Here is a 25,115-nt window from a genome sequence, read left to right on the forward strand (position 1 = left end):
TGTATGGGGAAGCCGAAGCACAGGGACCAGCCTCAGCACCCACCGACAGGGGCTGTGTCAGCAAATGACTCATAGCGCTGCAAGGCAGAAGATCAACAGGGCAGAGCCTTAAGGGAAGCTGGCCACGGTAAACAGCAGAACGAAAACGCTAAGTTCTATGATCCACATGATGCCAATGTTTGTAGAAAAAAACAAAAAGGCGTTAATGTGCATAAAGCTTACACCACACGCAAACACACGTTTGTATTATGTCCCCCAAGAGGCCTAGAAAGATCCATAAAAAACATAACAGCAGTGACCTCTGGAGAATGGGATTAGGGGCGTAAGAGGAACTTTTGCAACTTACTCTACTTACTTCTACAAATGAGCACTTATTACTTCTGCAATTTAAAAACTGAAGCCAGCTGGGACTGGACTAAAAGTAAAAAAAGAAGAAGGAAAAAAGAACAAAAATCAATTTGGGGTATCTGTGGCTTCAAAATACAGCGACAACAGTCCCTTGCTACTCCTCAGGAGGCTTCCTGGCCAGGCCGCCTTTGCCGTTCCCTGTCCCTTCGCAGCTCTGACCCTGTCTCTTGAATGTTAGGCTGCACGCACCTGCATGTACGTCTCATCCTGTGCGCCTGTGTGTGTCTGAGGCTCCTATCTCCCCACCAAAAGAGAGACAGGGAAGCACGGGGCTTTAAAGCTGGGCACTGGGGGCAGATTGCCCAAGATCCCACAAATTAACCATGCAACCTTGTGTAAACAGATCACCTCACCGCATGCCAGTTTTCTTATGAGGGGAACACTAGCATTATACCACACAGAGATCTCAGTGAGGAGCCAACAGGTGGAAAATGTTTAGCACAGTGCCAGGCACGTAATAGGTACTTGGTAAGTGTAGCCTGTTAGTATTACTATTATTGTTTTAGGGTTATTGTTTGCACACACTTTAAGCTAGCAACCCCACTTCCAGATATCTAACTTGAGGAAATCAAGGATATGCACAAATACCTTCCTGATTTTTATCACACTGTCTATAATACAAAAAAATTAAAAGCAACCTTGACAAAATACAAGGAACTGACCATGGAGAGTTATGGTTATCTATATGACAGACATTATATGTTGGGTTTTTTTCCTCCATAGGACCAAAGGAAGGAAATTATGAGGTCTTCAAAGTGATGCAACATAACTAATTAATATGGAGAGATGTTCGTAACTCTTTTTTGTTGTTGTTAAGACAGACTCTTGCTCTGTCGCCCAGGCTGGAGTGCAGTGGCACGATCTCGGCTCACTGCAAGCTCCGTCTCCCGGGTTCACGCCATTCTCCTGCCTCAGCCTCCCGAGTAGCTGGGACTACAGGCACCCGCCACCAAGCCCGGCTAATTTTTTGTATTTTTAGTAGAGACGGGGTTTTGCCGTGTTAGCCAGGATGGTCTCGATCTCCTGACCTTGTGATCTGCCCGCCTCGGCCTCCCAAAGTGCTGGGATTACAGGCATGAGCTACTGCACCCGGCCGATGTTTGCAACTCTTTAACAGTGAAAACAAATCCCAGCTTTTATAAAATATATAAGCTGGGCTGGGCGCGGTGGCTCACACCTGTAATCCCAGCAGTTTGGGAGGCCAAGGCAGGTGGATCACTTGAGCTCGGGTGTTCAAGACCAGCTTGGCCAACATGGTAAAACGCTGTCTTTACTAAAAATACAAAAATTAGCCAGGTGTGGTGGCACACACCTGTAATCCCAGCTACTTGGGAGGCTGAAGCACGAGAATCACTTGAACCCGGGAGGCAGAGGTTGCAGTGAGCCGAGATTATGCCACTGCACTCCACTCTGGGTGAAAGAGCAAGACTCTGTCTCAAAACATTAAAAAATAAATAAATAAATAAGTAAATGAAATACATAAACTGAGCAGTGTGGCTCATGCCTGTTGTCCCAGCTACTCAGGAGGCTGAGGCAGGAGATCACTTGAGCTCAGATCAAGCCTGCTGTGGGCTCTGACTGCACCACTGTACTCCAGCCTGGGAGACAGAGTGAGTTTATTTATTTATTAAGATAACAGAGGCAAAAATACACAGCCACGGAAGAAACTGAGACCATATATGGCAAAATGTTTATAGGGGTATGAAATTTCTTGGGTGGAGAAATTATGAGTGATTTTTCTCTCTGCTCTCCTATATTTTCTAAGTTTTCTAAAATGCACAAATCTCTTCAGCAATTAAAAAATAATAATTTGAGGCTGGGCGCGGTGGCTCACACCTATAATCCCAGCACTTTGGGAGGCCAAGGCAGGCGGATCACCTGAGGTCAGGAGTTCAAGACCAGCATGGCCAACATGGTGAAACCCTGTCTTTACTAAAAATACAAAATTAGCTAGGCATGGTGGTGCACGCCTGTAATCCCAGCTACTAGGGAGGCTGAGGCAGGAGAATCGCTTGAACCCGGGAGGCAGAGGTTGCAGTGAGCCGAGATCGCACCACTGCACTCCAGCCTGGGCAACAAGAGCGAAACTCTGTCTCAAATAATAATAATAATGATAATAATTTGGCCAGGCGCAGTGGCTCATGCCTGTAATCCCAGCACTTTGGGAGGCCGAGGCAGGCGGATCACTTGAGCTCAGGAGTTTGAGACCAGCCTGGCCAACATGCTGAAACCCCATCTCTACTAAAAAATACAAAAATTAGCCGGGTGTGATGGCACCTGCCTGTAATCCCAGCTACTCAGAAGGCTGAGGCAGGAGAATCGTCTGAGGTGGATGGAGGCAGAGGTTGCAGTGAGCTGAGATCGTGCCACTGCACTGCAGCCTGGGCAACGGAGCAGAAACTGTCTCAAAAAATAATAATAAATAATAATAACATTAAGAATTTGCTGGTCCAAACATGGTGAGTTACTGTGATGATTCACAGTTGATTACAGACCTACTTACAGATCTGCCTTCTCCCCACTTCCCACTACTGTATTTGATTAGTCTTTAAATAAATAATTAACAAATAAAAAATAATTTAATATTACCCTTGGGAAATAAAAAGCCATGCTTCATAAATCTTCACAAGGTATCTAAAAAAAAAAAAAAAAAAGCCACACAGGGCTCCTATGGCCACTGAGACAAAAAAAAAAAAAAAAAAAAAAGCCACAGAGGCATTCAGGGACACATTCCAACAGGGGTGTCCCCACGTCTGCCTCCTGCAGCGGGTTTCCCTCCCTCTCCCCAGGCCAGGCTCCGCCCACAGGGTGAAAGCCATTCCAGCCATGGCTGGCTAAGATCCTGATAGTTCAGCATCCCCAGTGGGGACGGAAAAGGACTGTGGAGTCTTTGGACTTATCTCTCAAGCCAAACGTGTCACGTGTCCCCAGCCCCCCTCCCCGAGCACACTCACTGTCGGAGAAGCTGCCGCCCCTCCTTCCACACCAACGGGCTGTTCTCCAGGGTGACCGATTCCACGGGGCCATTGGAGACTGGCGGGTGAGAGAACGGAGGCTGTCTTAAGTCAGGCCACTGCCACCTACCCATCACCTCCTCCATCTTCCTCACCCCTCCAACCCAAATCGGTCACTGTCGCAGGTCCTGTGGCATCACTTCCTGAGTGTTGGAACCCTGCTCTCTTCCCTTACTCGGGGATTCCTCCTCCTTGAAGCGTTCCTCATCTCTAGGTCTCCTGACTGGTGGTTCCCCAAACTGGCCCCCGACAAGATAAGGGTGTTATCTCAAAACCAGAAAGCTGGCCTGGTTCTGAGAGAAGGGCCGACTGGGTTCAAGCCCAGCTCTGCCCCATCCCAGCTGTGTGACCCTGAGTTAGTGTAAGCCGTGTCAGTTTCGTCCTCTGAGAAATGAGCTTAATGATAACAGCATCTCCCTCTTGGGAGTGCTGAGAGGATGCAATGAGATAATTTGCTTAGTATTTTATTCAAGTCTTTCCTGGGCATCTACGCTGTGCCTGGCCAGGGGCCTGGGCTACATGGGTAAACAAAGACCTGCCCTTGTGGAACTTCCGTTCTAGTGAGAGGAGCTGGCAGCAGGTAATGACCATCACTATCAGCTGAGCACACAAGGTCTTCTCAGCTTGCCTCGGCCAAGCTTCCCCCTCACCCAGCCCGCCCTCCCACATCCTCTGCCCTACACTGTTTGCCCAGGCACACTGACCGACTCCCTGTCCCCTAACCCTTTCAGCGTGCGTCTCTGTATCTGTGCTCTCTCCCCTGACTCTCCTGCTGGGGAACGGAGTCATCTTTCAAGGAGCTTAGACTCTAAGGGACCAGAGGGTAGAGACCATGTCTCCCGTGCTCTCTGCTGTATTCCTGATCTGTGATACAAAGCCTGTACCCTACAAATAAAGTCTTTTTTGGATGAACGATTGAACGGCAACCCTGTTCAAACGCCACCTCCTCAGTGACGTCTTCCCCGGCTTTCCCGCACCGTCCCCAGCACTCTATAAATAGCCCTGGCGCCCACTCCTCGCAAAGGGATCCCGTGAGCTGCTCGTGTGTCTGCCTCTGTTGCACAGGGGGACCCAAGCGGGACTGGCCCCCAGGGTCCAGCACGGGACCTGGCAGCCCATAGGGAGGGCTCTGAGAGTGAGATTCCGCCCCTCCCCAGCCCCGGGGCCGATTCTGCCTTCTAAGGAGCAAAGTGAGAAAGAGGCACCCCATCTTCCTGCTTCTCCAGAACACTCAGCTTCTGCGGGAGGGTGCCGACAGTGCGAGCATCAGAGGGTGGGTACCTTGTTCTGACACATCTGCTTTCTTCTCCCCCTGGTTCAGGTCTGTCCCAAACTTCAGTTTATGATATTTGGCCCTAAAAGAGCAAATGATTAATGAATAAGAGATGCGGGAGAGTAGACAGGGTCAGTAGTTACCTAAGGAATCCAGAATCCCAAACCCCAAATCACAGGGCCTCCCCCAGCTCGTCTACTACTGAGGCTGAAGCATCCCCCCACACCCCTGGCCTGGTGGAAGAAACCACTCCCTGGAGTCAGGCAACCTAGGTTGCTCTCAGGGGTCCTTGAGGAAACCATCAGCCCTTGAAACCCCAGTTCCTTATCTGAAACAGGGCTAACAATACCCGTTAGGCTATTGGAAGGTATAAGGGATAACGGAGGTAAGGACTATACGATATTTGGCGCACAGTGGGCCACTAGCATCGTGAATATCGTTCCTGGTGTCTAACCCAAATCCCACCTACTCTGTCCTGTTTCTCCCCTAGAATCTTATGGTACTGGAATGATGGAAAAGAATGTCGACCCCAAATCTCCCTTAGCTGGAAGGAGGCGTGGCTGGTGGCCTCCTGACACTGTGCTTGAGACGGACCCAGAAGGCAGGCCCAGGGCAGGATGAAGGCTCACCTTTCCTGCTTCAGCGCATACTCTAGCATCTTGATCCGCCGCACCAGGTCCGTCTTTAGATTCTCCTGCCCTTTCCTCTCTCCCTGAAGGAAGGCCACCTGAGCCTGGGAGGGCAGACAGGAGGCAAAGGGAGATAATGGGGCTCAGGCTCAATGCCGGTGTGTCTATCACTCACCCAGGTATAGTGCCAGCCCACAGTCACCCCACAGTAATGGGCAGCAGCCACTTCCTCAGGCACAAAGATCCCAAGCCAGGGTTCAGGGAGCACTGAGAGGACAGGATGGATCTGTTTCCAGGGCCCCCTGCCACGTCACCCACAACGAGGGCCGAAGGGGAGCCCTTAACCCCTGAGATAACAATGGGGCCAGCCTGGGCCTCACCTGGTGGCTGCCTTTGGGGGGAAGTCGGGTCAGGGATGGCAGTGGAGAGGAGGGTGGGCATTCACCGCCCTGGACTACCCCTGACGCCCTCTGGCAGGTGCTGTCCCTAAGGCTGCTGGTGGAGGTGGCGTCCCACTATTCTTACCAGAGCATCTGTCTCTGGGAGGCGTGGGAAGCTACTTCTGGAGCTTAGGGACAAGAGTGGGTGGCTCGGCTCGGCTCCTGCTCCAATAGAAAAGCTTTACAAGCCAAGCCCGCTGTGGGGACCAGCCGTCCCACTGCATTCCGCCCAGGGTGTGAGAGAAATGTGCCACAGACACGACCCCGGGTTCCTGCCAAGCACTTCACACCGTCTGCTGGCTTGAGCTGCCCCGTCTGCTCCAGTCTGTCAACAGGTCATTTGGAGACACTGGGCCCACTGCCTTCCAGGCAGGATCCTGGCCCCTGACCATGGTCCAGAAGCTCTTCTGCCAAAGCCCTGGCCCAAGGCTCATCTCTGGCTTCTCCCCAAGCACCCCACCGTTCCAGCCCAGAACAGCCAGAGCCCAGGCCCAACTTAGACACTTACTCGCTACATGATCTTACGCAGGTCATCAGCCTTCTCTGAGCCTCCATTTGCCCCTCTAGAAAATGAGAGTCACAAGAGTGCCCTCCCCTCATGTGCTAGGTTCTGCTCAGTCAAGGCCTGGCACAGAATAAAGGCTAACAAATGCCAGCTTCTACTTCTTTCATCATTTTTATTCTCCCTGTCCATTGTTCGCAACTTCGAAATGGGCCCAGTTCCTTACGGGAGGTAGGATCCCTTGGAGACCCCAGATCAACTAGAAATGTCTGTGGATTGGCCAGGCACAGTGGCTCACGCCTGTAATCCCAGCCCTTTGGGAGGCTGAGGTGGGCAGATGACTTGAGGTCAGGAGTTCAAGACCAGCCTGGCCAACATGGTGAAACCCCATCTCTACTAAAAATACAAAAAACTTAGCCAGGCATGGTGGTACACACCTGTAGTCCCAGCTACTCGGGAGGCTGAGGCAGGAGAATCGCTTGAACCTGGGAAGTGGAGATTGCAGTGGGCCAAGATCGTGCCACTGCACTCCAGCCTGGGCGACAGAGCCAGACTTCGTCTCAAAAAAAAAAAGAAATACATGTCACCAGTTACCTTATAGAAAAGAAAACTCATCTGTCCGCTTCAAGAATGGGAAATTTTTTTCCTTTTTAACACTTTTTACCAACACATATGTATATAAACATCCAAGGCCAGACAGGGAAACTACTTATATGACATCAGCATCTCTGAAGCATGAGTTTCTGTCCTTTGTGTATCTTCTCAGTCCCCCAAATCTACTCTCTGAATCACTGGAGAAGGTGTGAGGAGAGGCAGACCGACCACCGAAGACAAGTCCTGACTTTCCTCCTCACTCTCCTCCCTTCCCTCCTGGGGTTTGGTGATTGATCCCTCAACCTCCCAGGGGCAGTTCAGCCTGCCGGGAACCTACACCTTGGTCAATACCTGCCACTGTTTGGTGACTGCCCACACACATCAGGTGCCCCAGTAAGGCGCTGGGGAATAACAGAGGAGCCATGTGGTTCCTGCACCCACAGGGCTCAGTCCCATGCAGGAGACAGGCATGAGCAGCAACTCACATGCAATGTGACTAGGACCCCATTGCGGGAGCGAAGGACGCTATGGGAAGAGGGACAAGAGGCGACAATTCAGCTAAGGCCTGAAGCTGAAGAGAAGTTAGCCAGGGGAGGGAAGGGCCCTGCTGGCAGAGGACGGAGACAAGAGCTGCATGGTGGGCTTAAGGAACTCTAAAAAAGGCCAGGATGGCTGCTTCAGAACCTGTAAAAGGCTCAGTGAAGCCATGGAAGGGTTTTAAGTACAGAGAGGTAACCGATTCGCATGTTATAAAGGCAGCTCCAGCTAAAACATGGAGAACTGACTGGAGGGAGTTCTGGAGGGAGACTAGAGGGAGGGAGCAGGAGAGCGGCAGAGCTGGACACAGAGACCCCCATCACAGATGAGGGCAGTCCCAGAAATCCCAGGACAGAACGGTAGTGGCTTGGACTAGGCCGGGGCAGTGGACACAGTAGTGGTCTATCTGTGGGGGCAGGAGGTGGAGTTGGGCATCCCAACCAGACCTGTCACTGGCTGGGTTCCCCCTTCATCCCTCTGCTGCCTCATCGAGCTGTGGTCTCCCTCCTCCTAATGAGGATGTGAGGGTCTCAGCTGCCCACTCTGCTTTGCTGTCCCTTTCCCAGTGCCTCTGGAAAGAGAACCAGAAAGACATGGTTGGAGCATCTCAGGGAGGTGGAAACCCACCAAAAACGGGAAGCGTCAGTGGCCAGTCTCTCCCTCGCTGCAAACGCCAGCAGCCCCCACGGGCTGTCTGGTCTGCGAGGGCCAAGGTAGGCCTGAGGGTCGGTCGGGGATCTGGAAGTGCCGCTCACCATATCCACCCACTGCCACTCCCTCTAGCCAGAGCCGCAGAGCATGCGCTCCCAAAACCTTCTGATACCTGGCAGCTACTGCCTCTCCGCCCCTCCAGCTATTCCCAGCAAGGCGACATCTAAAGGCTTCGGAGGAGTCCCAGCAATTCAGTCCTCCCAGGAGCTGATGCCTCTCTGAATTCGCTGCTTCCTGTCCCAGCTAGCTGGGAAGAGTCCCCGTTTCGTGCCATCTAGCCCTGCATCTCCTAAGGGCCTCCTTCCCAAGCTTCAGCAGCTGCTGGCAGGAATGGGCCCCCAGGAAGCTGAAGTGGGCAGGGGCAGCTCCGCACATTCTCTGCTGGCACCGCACTCACTGCAGGTCCCTGTCGCTGCTCCTATACAAATCTCCAGTTCAGATCCCTCATTAAAAGGTCCCTCCCATCCTCAAAAAGCTTCCCCTCTCAGAGTTGCCACAGAACAGGGGCAGAGCCACACAATCAACTGTGCATGAACATCTACAGCTCTGCGGTCCCCTGCACAAACAAGCTTCCTCTGCCAGCCTGGAAGTTTCGGATGGGCAGAAACCACGTTACTTACTTCTCAGAATCCCCCACCTAGCAAATGCCTGCTCATTATCAGACTGCAGCTCCGCCACCTTCCTGCTCCAAACTTATGGTGACTACTGGCAGGACCTCCCTGGGGGCTGCCTTCTCTGCCATTCAACACACAGGTACCAAGCAGGGTCGCACGGCAGGTCTTCTGCTAGGAGCAGCTGTATTAAGCTCTTCAGAGAAAAGTTATTCAGAGTCCATCAGGAAAATCTGACACTGCCTAGCTCTTAAGGGATCTCACAGGGGAAGTCACACCGTCTGTTAGCACTAAGTGTTCAAGTAAAGGTGTGTAAAAGAGGTGCCGCTGATGGGAGAGTAAACTGGTGGGTCAATGTGGCAGAGTCATTCACTGTTTCTTTTTTTATTTTTATTTTTTTTGAGATGGCATCTCGCTCTGTCACCAAGGCTGGAGTGCAGTGGTGTGATCTCGGCTCACTGCAACTTCTGCTTCCCGGGTACAAGCGATTCTCCTGCCTCAGCCTCCCGAGTAGCTGGGACTACAGGCGCCCACCACCACGCCCGACTAATTTCTGTATTTTTAGTAGAGGTGGGGTTTCACCATATCGGCCACGCTGGTCTTGAACTCCAGACCTTGTGATCCACCTGCCTTGGCCTCTCAAAGTGCTGGGATTACAGGCGCGAGCCACCGCGCCCAGCCCAATCACTGTTTCATAAACACATCCATTCTACTATTCCACTCATCTGTTCTGCTTCATTCTTGCACAGGAATAAGGGGTTCTCACTGCAGCCATGTCTGATGGGGGAAAAACTAGAAAAAATCTAAAAGTCCACCAACCAGGGTCAAACTCAATCAGCTATGGTGCAAACATCCCGTGGGACGCTATGCAGCTATCAAAAAGAAAGAGTTCTCTGTGCTGATATGAAAGGAAAACCAAAACAGATTATTATGTCACAAAATGATACATACAGCAGTAGTTCATCTATTACATAAGCACAATAACTCTTCTCTCTCAGGAGAGAAGAGCAGGAAAGGGACGAAGAGAAGGAACTTTCCTTTTTCACTTACATATATATGTGTATACACACACTCACACACACACACACACCCCTCTGAGATGTCTGAATTTTTACTAACTTAACAGAATAAAAGAAAACAAAAGTACAAAGTGACAGTGCTGGTACCATGCCAGACACAAGTTCCTCTCAAACTCCAAGAAGGGTCAGTAAGTGAGGGGATAAACATCTTTTCTCTCATCAGCCTCCAGGATGAGAAGATGGTGTGGTGGGTGCTGTGCGGTGCACTGGTGCAAAGTCCCAGAGGCCAAGATTCAGTCCAAGCTCTGCTATGACTGCTTGGGTGACCCTGGGGAGGCCACTATGCTTGCCTGAACCAATTTTCTCAACTGTACTGGGTAGCAGAGAGGTACAGAACATGGGCTTAAAAGTCTACCGACGGTCGGGCATGGTGGCTTATGCCTGTAATCCCAGCACTTTGGGAGGCCGAGGCAGGTGGATCTCTTGAGGCCAGGAGTTCGAAACCAGCCTGACCAACGTGGCAAAACCCCATCTCTACTAAAAATACAAAAATCAGCCAGGCGTGGTGGTGGTGCACACCTGTAATCCCAGCTACTTGCGAGGCTGAGGCAGGAGAATCGCTTGAACCTGGGAGGCAGTGGTTGCAATGAGCCAAGATCATGCCACTGCACTCCACCCTGGGTGACAGAGTGAGACTCTGTCTCAAAAAAATAAAAATAAAAATAAATAAATAAATAAATAAATAAACAAAAGGTCCACCACAGACCAGCCCTTCTGCTCATCTGCTGGGATCCTAGATAAATCACCCTCTCAAAACCTCCATTTCCTCTCCTGATTTTTTTTAAAGGTAGGGGGAATATCCTTTATCCTCCCAGAATGCTGCAAGAATTAAATGACAGCTCGTATCTACAGTACTTGATACAGCGCCCCAGACATGGTATGTGCTCACTAAATTGCAGCTGGTACCGTTATTGCTGAGTGAGGTAATGACACTGCCTCTGCCTACATCACAGGGCATTGTGAAGATCTGATGAGATGTATGCTGGGAAAGAGCTTCGGAAGTAGAGAGTGGGACAGAAGTGAGAGCAGTTACATAAGGATTCTGCTCCCATCCCAGCCCCAAGCCTCAGCCACCACAAGTGAGGGCAGGGGGAGAGTTACTGGAGGGTCTTTACTCATCCTATGAACAAAATGCTTTTTTTTGAGACAGGATCTCACTCTTTTGCCCAGGCTGGAGTGCAGTGGTGCAATCATGGCTCACCGCAGCCTCAACCTCCGGGGTTTAAGCAATCCTCCCACCTCAGCCTCCTGAGTAGCTGGGACTACAGGCGCATGTCACCACACCCGGCTAATTTTTGTACTTTTTTGTAGAGATGAGGTCTTGCTATGTTGGCCAGGCTGGCCTCGAACTCCTGGGCTCAAGGGATTCTCCCACCTCAACCTCCCCAAGTGTTGGGATTACAGGCGTGAGCCACCGCACCCCATCCCTACCGACACAATTCTCATCAGCTATTTATTTGGGTACCAGCTTCCTACTAGATAGCAAACGGCAAATCGGAAGGGGAAAGGTGGGCTGCTACAAGCAGGTAATGACAATTTCTGCTAATAATAACCCAGTCCAAGAATCTTCAGACTTCCAGCGGGCCATTCCTGATCCCTTCAAATCCGGACATCTCCATGGTCCTCCAGTCACTGCCAATGGACCTGACGCTCCACGAGGTCACAAACCCTAGCCCAACTCCTCAGACTCTTCCATTCAACATCCCTGTCCCAAGCTACCCCAAAAACCACGGGGTCTTTTCCCAAGACTTCCACAAACATATCCCCTTCCCCCCAACCCCAGTCTACCCCCGTTCCGAGATGCCTCCTCATGTTGCCTTCGGGCTCTACAAAATTCTCCCCCCTAAAGCATCACCCCAGGGTAACCCCTAACTCGTCCTCATTGGCACCATCCCAGGACCCTCACCTCCATACTGGACATGCCCAACACCCCACACTCCAGTTCAGGGCTCTCTACCTACATCCTACAACACACGTGCCATCTCAGTGCCATCGCGCCCACTCCTGCACACCCCCAAAGTGGAACTTCCACTCTTAAGCTCTCCCATCCAGGCTCCTAGGGTACATTCCCTGCTCTGTCCACACTTCCACTCCAAAGAACCCTTCCCTGCACTGTGCAGCCACACATGCCCGGGATCCCCAAAGTTTCTCCTCAGAGGGGAAGGCACACACCTTCATCCTGGACCCCTTGAAACCCTCCTCCCACCCCTCGGGTCCTTACACAGCCCTCCTTCCGTGCCCACCGTCCAGTCGCCCCGAAACACACCGATCCCAGGTTCCCGACTTCCTCTCCCTAAATCCTCCCGGTTCCCCATCTGGACCCGCTCTTTCCCAGCGGGTCCCAAGTTCCCCCCTTGGACGCTCCCACCTCCAACCTGCACCTGGCTAGGGCCATGGTCGGGGTCGGGGTCGGGAGTCCCTCGGCGCCCGGCAAGCTTCTGCTTACTCCCACAGGAGACCACTCAGGTCTCCCAGACCCCTCCAGCTCCTCTCCACACCCTTTCCCGAGTTCTCTTAGCCTCCCCTCCAGGGCTCGAGTCGCCTCTCTCAGGAGCCCCGCGGCCAGCGTGCTCAGTCCCAGTCCCAGTCCCACTCCCAGCTGGTTGTGGTCCCTCCGCCCCTTTCTCTCGGCCGGTCCCGGTGATCCCTCCCACCCCCGGTCCCTCCACTCCCACCTCGGGCCGTCCCGGTCCCGTCCCACCCCGGAGTGCCCTCAGGACACCCCTCGGACGGCCCCTCACTCGCCCTCCGGGACCGTCGCGGTCCCCTCCCGCCCCCCCGCCGGCCGTCCCGGCGGCCATTGCTCCAAGATGGCGGCGGCGGCGGCAGCGGGTGAGGCCGGGCCGGGCCGGGCCGGGTTGGGGGTCGGGGGTCCCGGGACAGCGCTCACCTGTAACTCGGCGCGCTCGGCCTCCCAGCGGGCTTTCTCGGCTTCGAAGCGCGCCCACTCGTGCTGGATAAAGTGCAGGATCCCCGGCAGGCTCAGGGGCTCCGGGCCCGCCGTGGGCCCGGGGCTGCCTCCGCCGCCGCCTCCCTTACCTGCCGGGCCCGGCCCGGGGGCAGGGGCGGAGACCGGGGCCGCCCCAGTGGGGCCAGGGCCCGCGCCTGAGCCGAGCGGACGGCAGGAGGAGGCGGCGGCGGCGACCGCGGCGGCCGCTCGCTCCTCCATCATGGAGGCCCCGGGGCCGGCCTGCGCGCCCGCTGTGCCTCGCGCGCCTGCGCGGCCGCGCCAACACCCCCCCCCCTCCCCCGCCGCAACCACCGCGCGCGCGCCCGGCGGGGGACAGTAGGAAGGGGGGCCGGCGGCGAGCGCGAGCCTCGCCCACCCGGGTCTACACCGAAGGGTAGCGTGCCCGCGCGGGGGCCGGCGGGTGGGAGATCGCGCCCCGAGGAGGGCGAGGGAGACCCAGGCCCCGCGCGACGGTCCCCCTCGCTGGAGTGAGACTGAGGAAGGGGCCGCTTTCTGCCCCCCTCCTCCCACTTCGCCCCAGAGAAAGAGCCTTACCCCTTCCACACCCAAACACCACTCTCCTGGACAATTACTTTTACTCTGAGAGAAAGGGCGACCAGCAGTGGCCCCATCCTCTCTGATTGCCGGCCAGGTTGGTTGTCATGGTAACCCTTCCCCAGCGGTGGGGGCGAGGTGGTGGGGAGCAGCCTTCCCCTCGCTTCCACCTTTGTGGTTATGGAGCCCCAAACCTCTTAGGACTCTGCACCAGGAGAAGGTTGCTAAGGTAACCTAAGTGTCCGTGGTGGTCCTTCTGCTCCTATCCTCATTGATTACTATGGCAACCTCCCCCCCACCTAGCATTCAGGTAGAAAGGACCCCAGCCCCAAGGACACTGATCTCTAAGAGAAGCACCTCTTCCCCAGCCCCTCCCCCATAGCCACCTAGTTGGCATTACCATGGTAACCGTCTTCCCCTTCCCATCGTGGGAGGCCCATGCACCAAACTAACCAGGTGTTTTTATTTAGAGGAGATGCTCTGCTGAGGGGCAGTTGCTATGGTTACAGGGCCTGGACCTTCCTCCGGAAGGTGAGAAACAGGCAAGTTCAAGGCCTGGTTACTATGATAATAGAGCAGCCCCCTTCGAGTGACCCTAGGAACCAAGCCCAACAAAGGAGGGGATTTTTTTTTTTTTTTTTTTTTTTGAGACAGAGTGTAACTCTTGTTGCCCAGGCTGGGATGCAATGGCCCAATCTCGGCTCACCACAACCTCCGCCTCCCCGGTTCAAGCCGTTCTCCTGCCTCACCCTCCCAAGTAGCTGGGATTACAGGCATGCGCCACCACGCCCGGCTAATTTTTTTTTTATTTTTAGTAAAGACGGGGTTTCTCCATGTTGGTCACGCTGGTCTTGAACTCCCGACCTCAGGTGATCTGCCTCAGGCCCGCCTCGGCCTCCCAAAGTGCTGGGATTACAGGTGTGAGCCATCACGCCCGGCCAGGGGATGTTTTAAGAATGTCTCTCAGAGGTAGAGTGTGTCTATGGAAGGGGTTGTCATGGTAACAGCTTCTGTTGGCTTCTAGCCCTACCTTTTCTGGACACATTCATGCTAGAGGGATGGTTATAGGTTGCTATAATAACTGACATCCCTCCCATTCACCCCACCCCACTCCTGAGACACCCCAGGTGGTGCCCGAGATTATAGGACTTCAAGAGAAAGGATTCCCTGACCTTTCTCTTGCCACTTTTGTGGATAAGATGAAATTGTGCTCTATTGTACGGAAATGGCTGATTTGGGATTTTCTGGTTCTCCTCCTCTCAGGAGCGCAGCTCAGCTGGGCTGGAACTGCCCTCCTGGAACTCCCCCAGCCTACAACCTAGGAGGTAAGAAGTCCCTCAGTGTCACCTACACTCTCATGGAAACTGCCCTTCCTCATTCCTTAAGGCTTTCCCATGTCTCTCATTTTTTTCTTTTTCTTTCTTTCTTTTTTGAGACGGAGTGTCGCTCTGTTGCCCGGGCTGAAATGCAGTGGCGCGGTCATGGCTCACTGCAACCTCCACCTCCCTGGTTCAAGCGATTCTCCTGCCTCAGCCTCCCGAGTAGCTGGGATTACAGGCACCTGCCACCACGCCCGGCTAATTTTTTGTATTTTTAATAGAGATGGGGTTTCACCTTGTTGGCAGGCTGGTCTCGAACTTCTGACCTCGTGATCCGCCCGCCTCGGCCTCCCAGAATGCTAGAATTACAGGCGTGAGCCACCGCGCCCAGCCCTCTCATTTTTTTCTAACCGTCACATTCCCATTCCACAGGTGCAGGGACTGAGGCTCAGGCCAAATCGCAACTCAGACCCAGTGAACCCAAGGCCTGAAGAGAATTTGGATTCATTTACCTTGTTTTGTGGGGACTGGAGAGACAAGTAAACTCTCAGAGTAACTGTCCCCTCTGACTACCATTTCTAAGGCAAGCCCCCTGTTTCTACTCTTGCGCCCCCTGCTGGTTTCCTGCCCTGTCTGTAAGTTGCATGGCTTTTGTCCGTCTTTTTTTTGTTTGTTTGTTTGTTTTGAGACAGGGTCTCACCCAGGCTAGAGTGAAGTGGAGCAATCTCGGCTCACTGCAACCTCCGCCTCCTGAGTTCAAGTGATTCTCACACCTCAGCCTCCCCAATAGCTGGGATTACAGGTGCGCACCACCATGCCCAGCTAATCTTTGTATTTTTTGGTAGAGAGGGGGTTTCACCATATTGCCCACGCTGGTCTCTAACTCCTGACCTCAGGTGATCTGACCGCCTGGGCCTCCCAAAGTACTGAGATTACAGGTGTGAGCCACCACACGTGGCCCTGTCAGTCTTCTTTCTGTCTTCTGGAGGGCTGACCTAATGAGTACCTCGTTCATTCTGTATCCTCAAAACATGGGGTCCACCACAAAGAATACTTGAGTTTGTTGAGTTACTGAGTTGAATTAATTTATTAATGTGCCATAGCCAAGCTTTGAAAGCCCCTGTCAGGTTAGGGCTGGGGAAGGCTCACTAAAGATGGGCTGAGAGTTGGGGCTTCAGAAAGAACCCAAGAGAGAAGGTAAAGTTTACTGGTTTAAAGTACGACTCTGTAGCCAGCTTCTTGGATCAACTCTTGGGTCCACTACTTCACATTGTGTGACCTTGAATAAGAGACTTTAACTCTTTAACTCTCTGTGCCTTTGTTTCCTTTTTTTTTTTTTTTTTTTTTGAGATAAGGTCTCGAGGCCAGGCGCGGTGGCTCACGCCTGTAATCCCAGCACTTTGGGAGGCTGAGGCGGGCGGATCACGAGGTCAGGAGATTGAGACCATCCTGGCCAACATAGTGAAACCCCATCTCTACTAAAAATACAAAAATTAGCCGGGCATGGTGGCGCATGCCTGTAATCCCAGCTACTCAGGAGGCGGAGGCAGGGGAATCCCTTGAACCAGGGAGTTGGAGGTTGCAGCGAGCCGAGATTGTGCCACAGCACTCTAGCCTGGTGACAAAGCGAGACTCCGTCTCAAAAAAAAAAAAAAAAAAGAGTCTGGCTCTGTCACCCAGGCTGGAGTGCAGTGGCACAATCTCAACTCACTGCAACCTCTGCCTCCTAGACTCAAGTAATCCTACCACTTCAGCCACCAGAGTAGCTGGGACTACAGGTGCACACCACCATGCCCGGCTAATTTTTTAAATTTTTTTGTAGAGACGGGGTCTTACCAGTCCATGCTGGTCTCAAACTCCCAGGCTCAAGCAATCTCCCCCAGCCTCATCCTCCCAAAGTGCTGGGATTACAGGCATGAGCCACCACATCGGCTGGTTTCCATTTTTAAATGTGATCATAACACGAGGATTAAACAAGTGAATATGCCTAAAGTGCTTAGAACAGGGCCTGGCACATGGTGAGCTGCTAGAATTGTTATTATTATCCTCCCGATTCAGAAAAATGTAGAACATTCAGACCTTCAAAATCATCATTGTATCCACTTTGCCCCAACGAAGGGGTTTGTTGCCCTTAGAGGCGGTGAAGTCTGCATGGCTTTATCAGGGTACTAGATGATTCCTTTCCCCGCCTCAGGTTCCCTCACACCCTCACCAGCAGGTGGCACCTCTTCATCTGGCCATCAAATCTGCTGGTGTCTGGTCTGCGAGGGCCAAGAGTTGTGCTGGGCCTGAGGGTAGCCAGGACCTGGCTGCTGTCCTCTGCCCTGCTGGGCACCTCCTTCCTGGCCCAGAGTCAGTCAGACAGTGTGGCAAGAGCCAGGGCCTCAGAAGCGGAGACCTCGGTTCTCGACCCTGCATCCTTCTTATCTCTCTGAGCCAGAGGTTCCTATCTTTCGTTTTTGAGACTGGGTCTCGCTCTGTCGCCCAGGCTGGAGTGCAGTGGCTGAATCACAGCTCACTGCAGCCTCCACCTCCTGGGCTCAAGGGACCCTCCTGCCTCAGCCTCCCTCCTAAGTAGCTGAGACCACAGGTAGGCACCACCACGCCTGGCTGATTTTTGTATTTTTTTAGAGACGGGGTTTTGCTATATTGCCCAGGCTGGTGTTGAACTCCTGAGCTCAAGCGATCCTCCTGCCTCAGCTTCCCATAGTGCTAGGATTACAGGAGTGAGCCCCCATACCCAGCCCACGTTCCTTATCTTAATAATTCAAGTCACTCATTCATTCAACACGTATTTATTGAGCACCTGCTATGCACCAAGCACTGAGCTGTGCTCTGGGGATACAGTAGGGAAGAAAACAGATTCCCTGCCTTCCATGGAGATTCTGACAACAAACAAGCTAAGTAAAATCCACGTGATAACTACTAGGGGAGCAAAATAAAGCAGGAATGGGGGATAGGAAGTACATGGGAGATGCTTTTTTTTTTTTTTTAAAGACAGACAAGGTCTCGCTCTATTGCCCAGGCTGGAGTGCAGTGGCGCCATCACAGCTCACTGCACCCTTGACTTCCCCAGCTCAAGTGATCCTCCTACCTCAGCCTCCTAAGTAACTGGGACTACAGGTGCAAGCCATCACATCCAGTTAGTTTTGTTTATTTTTTGTAGAGATGGCATCTTACTATGTTGTCCAGGCTGATCTGAAACTCCTGGTCTCAAGCGATCTGCCTACCTCAATCTCCCAAAGTGCTGGAATTACAGGTGTGAGCCACTGCACCTGGCCAAGATGCATTTTTTTGTTTATTTACTTATTTTGAGACAGAGTTTTGTTGTTGTTGCCCAGGCTGGAGTACAATGGCATGGTCTCAGCTCACTGCAGCCTCTGCCTCCTGGGTTCAAGCAATTCTCCTGCCTCAGCCTCCCAAGTAGCTGGGATTACAGGCGCCTGTCACCATGCCCAGCTAACTTTTTTGTATTTTTTTTTTTTTTTTTTTTTGAGACGGAGTCTTGCTCTGTCGCCCAGGCCGGACTGCGGACTGCAGTGGCACAATCTCGGCTCACTGCAAGCTCCGCTTCCCGGGTTCACGCCATTCTCCTGCCTCAGCCTCCCGAGTAGCTGGGACTACAGGCGCCCGCCACCGCGCCTGGCTAATTTTTTGTATTTTTAGTAGAGATGGGGTTTCACCATGTTGGCCAGGCTGGTCTTGAACTCCTGACCTCAGGCGATCTGCCCACCTCGCCCTCCCAAAGTGCTGGGATTACAGGCATGAGCCACCATGCCCAGCCCACCAAGATGCATTTTTAAATAGGATGGCCAAAGGAAGAGGTTATGGGAAGGTGACATTGGAGTGATGGGGGTGGGGGCCGGCGCAGTGGGGTGGATCGCCTGTGGCTATCTGGGATAAGAACACTCAGACAGAGGCAACAGGCAGTTCTGCAGCTGGAGTGTCCCAGGTGTGTTTGAAAGATGGTGTTGGTGGCCAATGTTCCTAGAGCTGAGTGAGTGAGTAGGAAAGGATGGAAGATCACGCGGGGCCTTATGGGCCACATTGAGTACCTTGGCTTTTCCTGCGAGGTGCCAGCCACAGAAGGGCCTGAGCAGAGCCAGGACAGGATGAAATGTGAGTTGTGACAGGATCTCTCGAGGTGCTGAATGAGGAACAGACCACAGGAACAGAAGCGGGAAGACAGTCTCTTGCTGTGACCTTCAAGGATATGCAGACTAACCATCTCATGTGTGTTCGGAGCTCCTATGTACCTAAACTCTAAGATTTTGAAGGGCTTGAGGTTCTGTGGTTGCAAAGGTTCCTGCCCCTGCACTAATGGGAGCTCCACAAGGGCAGGAATGTTGTCTGTCTCTGAGCATCTGTTGCTCTCTCTCCAGTGCCTAGAACAGTGCCTGGCATGTTGTAGGAGTTCAACAAATAGATGTTGAAGGATTGAAGGAAGGAAGAATCAATCTAAGGTCCAGAAGGCAATTCCAGGATTCTAAAGATTAGAAAGGACATGGTGACTCACGCCTGTAATCCTGGCACTTTGGGAGGCCGAGACGGAAGGATCACTTGAGGTCAGGAGTTCGAGACCAGCCTGGACAATATAGTGGGAGCCAGTCTCCACAAAAATGTGTTTGAAAAATTAGCCAGGCACAGTATTGCATGCCTGTAGTCCCAGCTACTCGGGAGACTGAGGCAGGAGGATGGCTTGAACACAGGAATTCGAGGCTGCAGTGAGCCGTGATTGCACCACTGCACTCAAGCTTGGGCAGCAGAGCAAGACGCTGTCCGTTTAAAAAATATATATATTTTGGCTGGGTGTGGTGGCTCACTCCTGTAATCCCAACATTTCTGGAGGCCAAGGCAGGCAGATCATGAGGTCAAGGGATTGAGACCATCCTGCCCAACATGGTGAAAACCCGTCTCTACTAAAAATACAAAAATTAGCCGGGCATGGTGGCACGCGCCTGTAGTCCCAGCTACTCAGGAGGCTGAGGCAAGAGAATCGCTTGAACCCTGGAGGCGGTGGTTGCAGTGAGCCAGTCGCACCACCGCACTCCAGCCTGGCAACAGAGTGAGACTCCGTCTCAAAAAAAAAAAAATTGTTTTTGGCTGGGCGCGGTGGCTCACGCCTGTAATCCCAGCACTTTGGGAGGCCACGGCGGGTGGATCACCTGAGGTCAGGAGTTCGAGACCAGCCTGACCAACATCCCGTCTCTACTAAAAATACAAAATTAGCCGGGTGTGGTGGCGCATGCCTGTAATCCCAGCTACTCAGGAGGCTGAGGCAGGAGAATCGCTTGAACGCGGGAGGCAGAGGTTGCAGTGAGATGAGATAGCTGCCACTGCACTCCAGCCTGGGCAACAGAGGGAGACTCCATCTCAAAAAAAAAAAAGAAAAGAAAAGAAATAAGAGCAGTTTGAGAAAATGTTCAGGGTGACTTAAACATACAGGTTGGGGAAAGCATGGCAAGAGATGAGGGTGGAATGGGGGGCAGACAAGGGGAATGTCAGAAGCAGCTTCCACTTTCTCCCCTGGGCACTGGGAGCCATGGCAAGTTCAGAGCAGGGGAAGGAGAGGTCCAACTTGTGCTTTAGGAAGACTCCTCTGGCTATCACGGGGAGAGGAATTGCCAGGAGACCAGGGGGAGGTTGGATGGGAATGTGGGTGGACCTGGTTGAGGAGGGAGCTGTGGAAATGGGGAGGAGGGGACAGAGGATTTAGGACATAGGGAGGTTAGTTGGATGCCCCCTCTCTCTAGGAAGGGCAGAAACCTACAAAAAGCCTTCATGGGGAAATTATTTGATCATCTGCTTGGAACCCAGAGCTATACCACCTGTGCTGGAGACCGGCCAGCCAAATCTTCAGTCTCGGTGGGGACAAGGAGACAGCGCCATCTGGTGCTTGAGGGTGTGGCCAATGAATGTGGAGGGGAGTGTCCTAAGGTTGGCAGCCTCTTTTGATGCAAGCTACCCCAGTTTTTTGTTGTTGTTGGGTATTTTGAGACAGGGTCTCACTCTTGTCCAGGCTGAGTGCAGTGGCATGATCATGGCTCACTGGCTCAAGCCATCCCCCCACCTCAGCATCCTGAGTGGCTGGGACCATAGGTGAGTAGCACCACACCCAGCTAATTTTTTATTTTTTGTAGAGATGAAGTCTCCTTATGTTACTCAGGTTGGTCTCGAACTCCTGGACTCAAGTGATCCTCCTGCCTTGGCCTCCCAAATTGCTGGGATCACAGGTGTGAGTCACTGTACCTGGCCCACCCCACTTTTGTTTTTTCTTTTTTTTTTTTAATTTTTATTTATTTATTTATTTATTTATTTATTTATTTTTTGAGACAGTCTCACTCTGTTGCCCAGGCTGGAGTGCAACGGTGCCATCTCGGCTCACTGTAACCTCCACCTCCCAGGTTCAAGTGATCCTCTTGCCTTGGCCTCCCAAATTGCTGAGATCACAGGCGTGAGTCACCATACCTGGCCCACCCCACTTTTGTTTTGTTTTTCTTGTTTTAAATTGGTTTGTTTATTTATTTATTTATTTATTTTTCGAGACGGAGTCTCGCTGTGTTGCCCAGGCTGGAGTGCAATGGTGCCATCTCCGCTCACTGCAACCTCCATCTCTCAGGTTCAAGCGATTTCCTGCCTCAGCCTCCTGAGTAGCTGGGCTTACAGGCACCCGCCCTCACACCCAGCTAACTTTTGTATTTTTAGTAGAGATGGGGTTTCACCGTGTTGGCCAGGCTGGTCTCAAACTCCTGACCTCAGGTAATCCACCTGCCTTGTCCTCTCAAAGTGATGGGATTACAGGCATAAGCCACCGCGCCCAGCCTAACCTTTTTTTTTCATTTATATTTTTCAGCACCCCACTTAAAATTTTTTTTAAATTCTGATTAAGTATATATAACATTAAATGTACCATCTTAACCATTTTTCAGCACACAGTTCAGTAGTGTTAAATGCATTCATACTGTTGTGCCAACAAACCTCTGGGACCTTTTCATCTTCCCAAACTGAAACTCTGTACTTATCAAACAACTCCCCATTCCCCCCTGCCTGCAACCCCTGGCACCCGTCATTCTACTTTATGTTTCTATTAGTTTGACTCACTCTGTTTAAAAAAAAAAAAAAAAATTCTGAGGACACCCAGAGTTGGTGCATGGCCCAGACTGGGAGGTCAGGGAGTGCTTCCTGGAGAAGGGGAAGTCAAAGCTGAAACCAAATAGGGAAAAGAAAGGGAATTGAGAAAGAGCTGTAGAAAGGGGCAAGGCTGAGGGTGGCAGAAGGGGGTGGTTCTGACAATCAGCTGCTGCCTTCCCTTTCGTCCCCCTCCCCCAGGATGCCCCGGAGGCCCAGCTAGCCCCAGACTTCGGCCCCATGCGGCTCACCCGCTGCCAGGCTGCCCTGGCGGCCGCCATCACCCTCAACCTTCTGGTCCTCTTCTATGTCTCGTGGCTGCAGCACCAGCCTAGGAATTCCCGGGCCCGGGGGCCCCGTCGTGCCTCTGCTGCCGGCCCCCGTGTCACCGTCCTGGTGCGGGAGTTCGAGGCATTTGACAACGCGGTGCCCGAGCTGGTAGACTCCTTCCTGCAGCAAGACCCAGCCCAGCCCGTGGTGGTGGCAGCCGACACGCTCCCCTACCCGCCCCTGGCCCTGCCCCGCATCCCCAACGTGCGTCTGGCGCTGCTCCAGCCCGCCCTGGACCGGCCAGCCGCAGCCTCGCGCCCGGAGACCTACGTGGCCACCGAGTTTGTGGCCCTAGTACCTGATGGGGCGCGGGCTGAGGCACCTGGCCTGCTGGAGCGCATGGTGGAGGCGCTCCGCGCAGGAAGCGCACGTCTGGTGGCCGCCCCGGTTGCCACGGCCAACCCTGCCAGGTGCCTGGCCCTGAACGTCAGCCTGCGAGAGTGGACCGCCCGCTATGGCGCAGCCCCCGCCGCGCCCCGCTGCGACGCCCTGGACGGAGATGCTGTGGTGCTCCTGCGCGCCCGCGACCTCTTCAACCTCTCGGCGCCCCTGGCCCGGCCGGTGGGCACCAGCCTCTTTCTGCAGACCGCCCTTCGCGGCTGGGCGGTGCAGCTGCTGGACTTGACCTTCGCCGCGGCGCGCCAGCCCCCGCTGGCCACGGCCCACGCGCGCTGGAAGGCTGAGCGCGAGGGACGCGCTCGGCGGGCGGCGCTGCTCCGCGCGCTGGGCATCCGCCTAGTGAGCTGGGAAGGCGGGCGGCTGGAGTGGTTCGGCTGCAACAAGGAGACCACGCGCTGCTTCGGAACCGTGGTGGGCGACACGCCCGCCTACCTCTACGAGGAGCGCTGGACGCCCCCCTGCTGCCTGCGCGCGCTGCGCGAGACCGCCCGCTATGTGGTGGGCGTGCTGGAGGCTGCGGGCGTGCGCTACTGGCTCGAGGGCGGCTCACTGCTGGGGGCCGCCCGCCACGGGGACATCATCCCATGGGACTACGACGTGGACCTGGGCATCTACTTGGAGGACGTGGGCAACTGCGAGCAGCTGCGGGGGGCAGAGGCCGGCTCGGTGGTGGATGAGCGCGGCTTCGTATGGGAGAAGGCGGTCGAGGGCGACTTTTTCCGCGTGCAGTACAGCGAAAGCAACCACTTGCACGTGGACCTGTGGCCCTTCTACCCCCGCAATGGCGTCATGACCAAGGACACGTGGCTGGACCACCGGCAGGATGTGGAGTTTCCCGAGCACTTCCTGCAGCCGCTGGTGCCCCTGCCCTTTGCCGGCTTCGTGGCGCAGGCGCCTAACAACTACCGCCGCTTCCTGGAGCTCAAGTTCGGGCCCGGGGTCATCGAGAACCCCCAGTACCCCAACCCGGCACTGCTGAGTCTGACGGGAAGCGGCTGAAGCCCTGATAACCTCGCCTTTGTTTTTCGGGGGTCTGTCTGGATGTGGAGAAGCTCTGTGTGAGCGGTGAGGGGTGGAGGGATGTCGCGGAGAGGGGAAGGGGGAAACTGACCAAGAAAGAAATTCTAAGGAGAGCATGAGAGAAGGCTGGCATTGGCAGGAGGAGAGCACCAGGACGAGGATGGGAAGCGACCTCCAGATTTATCAAATGGTCATGCCCACTGGGAGCCGTGGATATGCGTGGGGACATCCTGGGTCATCTCAGTCATGGAGGGAGACGGGGATGTCACGCCGTCCCGCAGGGCCCAGCACAGCCCCAGACCCGAAAAAAGTGTTCTGCCCAAGATTCCGAGAGCCCTGCGCTCTAGGGCAGGGGCAGAGTTTTGGAAACAGTGCAGGCTCTGGAGCCAGACTGGCGAGATTCAAATCCTGGCTCTATCGCTTCGGAGCCAGGTGGGCCTGGGGGGGCGTCGCAGTCTCTCTGTGCCTCAGTTGCTTCCAGGATGCGGGACCCTTGGCTGCAGGGGTTGCTTCCGCCACTAGAGGGCGCGCCGGTCCCGCTCCTGGTGGCCCACTGTGGCTGCCCGGGCGACAGTACGCCCAGGGCCTGTGTTCCATAGCCATCTACTCTCTTGAGCCTTTGGACTTCTCTCCAAGCCCCTGTGGGAGGCGGACAGCAGTGACCACCTCCCCTTCTTTTGGACTGCGACCTCCTTCCCTCCTGGGAGAGCCCTGTGACCTGCATGCTACTCTTAACTGTTCTATTCAAGACTGAATAGAAGTATTTCAGTCTTGCAGAGGAGGAAATGCTCAGAGCTCCGAGGTGCGGCTGTGGTCGAGAACCGGGTGCTGGGCCGGGCGCGGGGGCTCACGCCTGTAATCCCAGCACTTTGGGAGGCCGAGGTGGGAGGATCGCTTGAGCCCAGGAGTCTGAGACCAGCCTCGGCAACATGCCAAGACCCCGTCTCTATTTTTAAAAAAGAAAAAGAACCGACTTCTGAATCGCAGCTCCACTCATGACTAATACCTCATTATTTCAGCTGTCTGCACCTAATTCCCCACTTGCACGGCAGTGTAGACAATAACCATAGCTCACACTCACTGAGCACCTACTGGGTACCAGGCACCATTCTCAGTGTTTCACCTGGATCAACTAATGCGTCCCTCACCTCAGCCCTCTGAAGTGACAGCTGCTATTATTTTCATTACACAGATGAAAAAGCTGAGGCCAGAATCGTGAAGTCACTTGCTCAAGGTCAGGCAGCTTAGGAAGGGGCAGATCGGGGGCTTGAACCCAGGTGGTCAGGCTCTGGAGCCCACAATTGTCTTACCCACTATGCCCCTCTCTAGTCATGGTCCCCAAGAGGGGCTTGGAGACCCACTTAGCAGGTGAAAGCAATGGCAGCCTTCCTTATTTGATTATGCACCTAAGAATAAATGGTATTTGGGCATGTATTCCCAATATGTGTATATTTATTTATAAATATATACAGATACTATTATCTGTATGTTAGTAATAAAGCTTAAATTATTCCATTTTAAAATTATGAATATGAATAGGGTTTTTTTTATGTTTCTTGCCTCATCCCAATGACTTTTGCACACCCAGGTGTGAGCACCCAGCATTCAAGACCACG

At 53.6% G+C, this 25,115-nt stretch overlaps 2 protein-coding genes across 28 annotated transcripts in view, besides 5 other annotated features; one reads left to right on the top strand and one right to left on the bottom strand.

Annotated features, from left to right (window-relative positions):
• The window catches only part of STRN4 (striatin 4), a 26,940-nt gene extending 13,950 nt beyond the window's left edge, over positions 1-12,990 (bottom strand). For 3 of the 10 annotated variants that reach the window (XM_006723172.3, XM_006723171.3, XM_011526878.2), the window contains exons 1-5: positions 12,689-12,990; positions 5,325-5,428; positions 4,704-4,777; positions 3,363-3,441; positions 2,998-3,042 (exon numbers count right to left, since the gene is read on the bottom strand). In XM_006723172.3, the coding sequence (XP_006723235.1) occupies positions 2,998-3,042; positions 3,363-3,441; positions 4,704-4,777; positions 5,325-5,428; positions 12,689-12,970 (584 nt within the window). In that variant the 5' untranslated portion in view covers positions 12,971-12,990. Of the gene's footprint in view, positions 1-355; positions 416-2,997; positions 3,043-3,362; positions 3,442-4,703; positions 4,778-5,324; positions 5,429-5,849; positions 5,927-12,688 lie in introns of those variants that run through there. The other 7 variants (NM_013403.3, NM_001039877.2, XM_017026719.2 and 4 more) reach the window with 4 other exon arrangements.
• On the top strand, positions 11,300-25,115 carry FKRP (fukutin related protein). 18 transcript variants are annotated; one of them, XM_047439422.1, is made up of 5 exons: positions 12,597-12,630; positions 13,774-13,845; positions 14,567-14,628; positions 15,055-15,424; positions 21,952-25,115. In XM_047439422.1, exon 5 carries the CDS (start codon positions 21,991-21,993, stop codon positions 23,476-23,478), a length of 1,488 nt encoding a protein of 495 aa, XP_047295378.1. In that variant the 5' UTR covers positions 12,597-12,630; positions 13,774-13,845; positions 14,567-14,628; positions 15,055-15,424; positions 21,952-21,990; the 3' UTR covers positions 23,479-25,115. The 18 variants fall into 18 exon arrangements, with proteins under 18 accessions (XP_047295382.1, XP_047295378.1, XP_005259304.1 ...); XM_005259247.3 differs by having other exon boundaries at positions 15,055-15,257; XM_005259248.3 differs by having other exon boundaries at positions 15,055-15,205.
• Positions 12,536-12,765: a silencer, noted in NCBI's record as "silent region_10825". NCBI's record gives its function as "represses an Ori minimal core promoter by ATAC-STARR-seq in GM12878 lymphoblastoid cells {active_cell/tissue: GM12878}" and the evidence as "EXISTENCE:reporter gene assay evidence [ECO:0000049][PMID:35858748]".
• Positions 12,976-13,025: a silencer, noted in NCBI's record as "silent region_10826". NCBI's record gives its function as "represses an Ori minimal core promoter by ATAC-STARR-seq in GM12878 lymphoblastoid cells {active_cell/tissue: GM12878}" and the evidence as "EXISTENCE:reporter gene assay evidence [ECO:0000049][PMID:35858748]".
• Positions 13,036-13,185: a silencer, noted in NCBI's record as "silent region_10827". NCBI's record gives its function as "represses an Ori minimal core promoter by ATAC-STARR-seq in GM12878 lymphoblastoid cells {active_cell/tissue: GM12878}" and the evidence as "EXISTENCE:reporter gene assay evidence [ECO:0000049][PMID:35858748]".
• Positions 13,226-13,325: a silencer, noted in NCBI's record as "silent region_10828". NCBI's record gives its function as "represses an Ori minimal core promoter by ATAC-STARR-seq in GM12878 lymphoblastoid cells {active_cell/tissue: GM12878}" and the evidence as "EXISTENCE:reporter gene assay evidence [ECO:0000049][PMID:35858748]".
• Positions 13,366-13,415: a silencer, noted in NCBI's record as "silent region_10829". NCBI's record gives its function as "represses an Ori minimal core promoter by ATAC-STARR-seq in GM12878 lymphoblastoid cells {active_cell/tissue: GM12878}" and the evidence as "EXISTENCE:reporter gene assay evidence [ECO:0000049][PMID:35858748]".

The sequence above is a fragment of the Homo sapiens genome, chromosome 19 (genome assembly GCF_000001405.40).
Source record: "Homo sapiens chromosome 19, GRCh38.p14 Primary Assembly".
Classification (NCBI taxonomy): Eukaryota; Metazoa; Chordata; class Mammalia; order Primates; family Hominidae; genus Homo; species Homo sapiens.

Bases quoted from the DNA above. Each gene is read 5' to 3' on its own strand.
- FKRP (XM_047439426.1), top strand. From the start codon at position 21,991: ATGCGGCTCACCCGCTGCCAGGCTGCCCTGGCGGCCGCCATCACCCTC.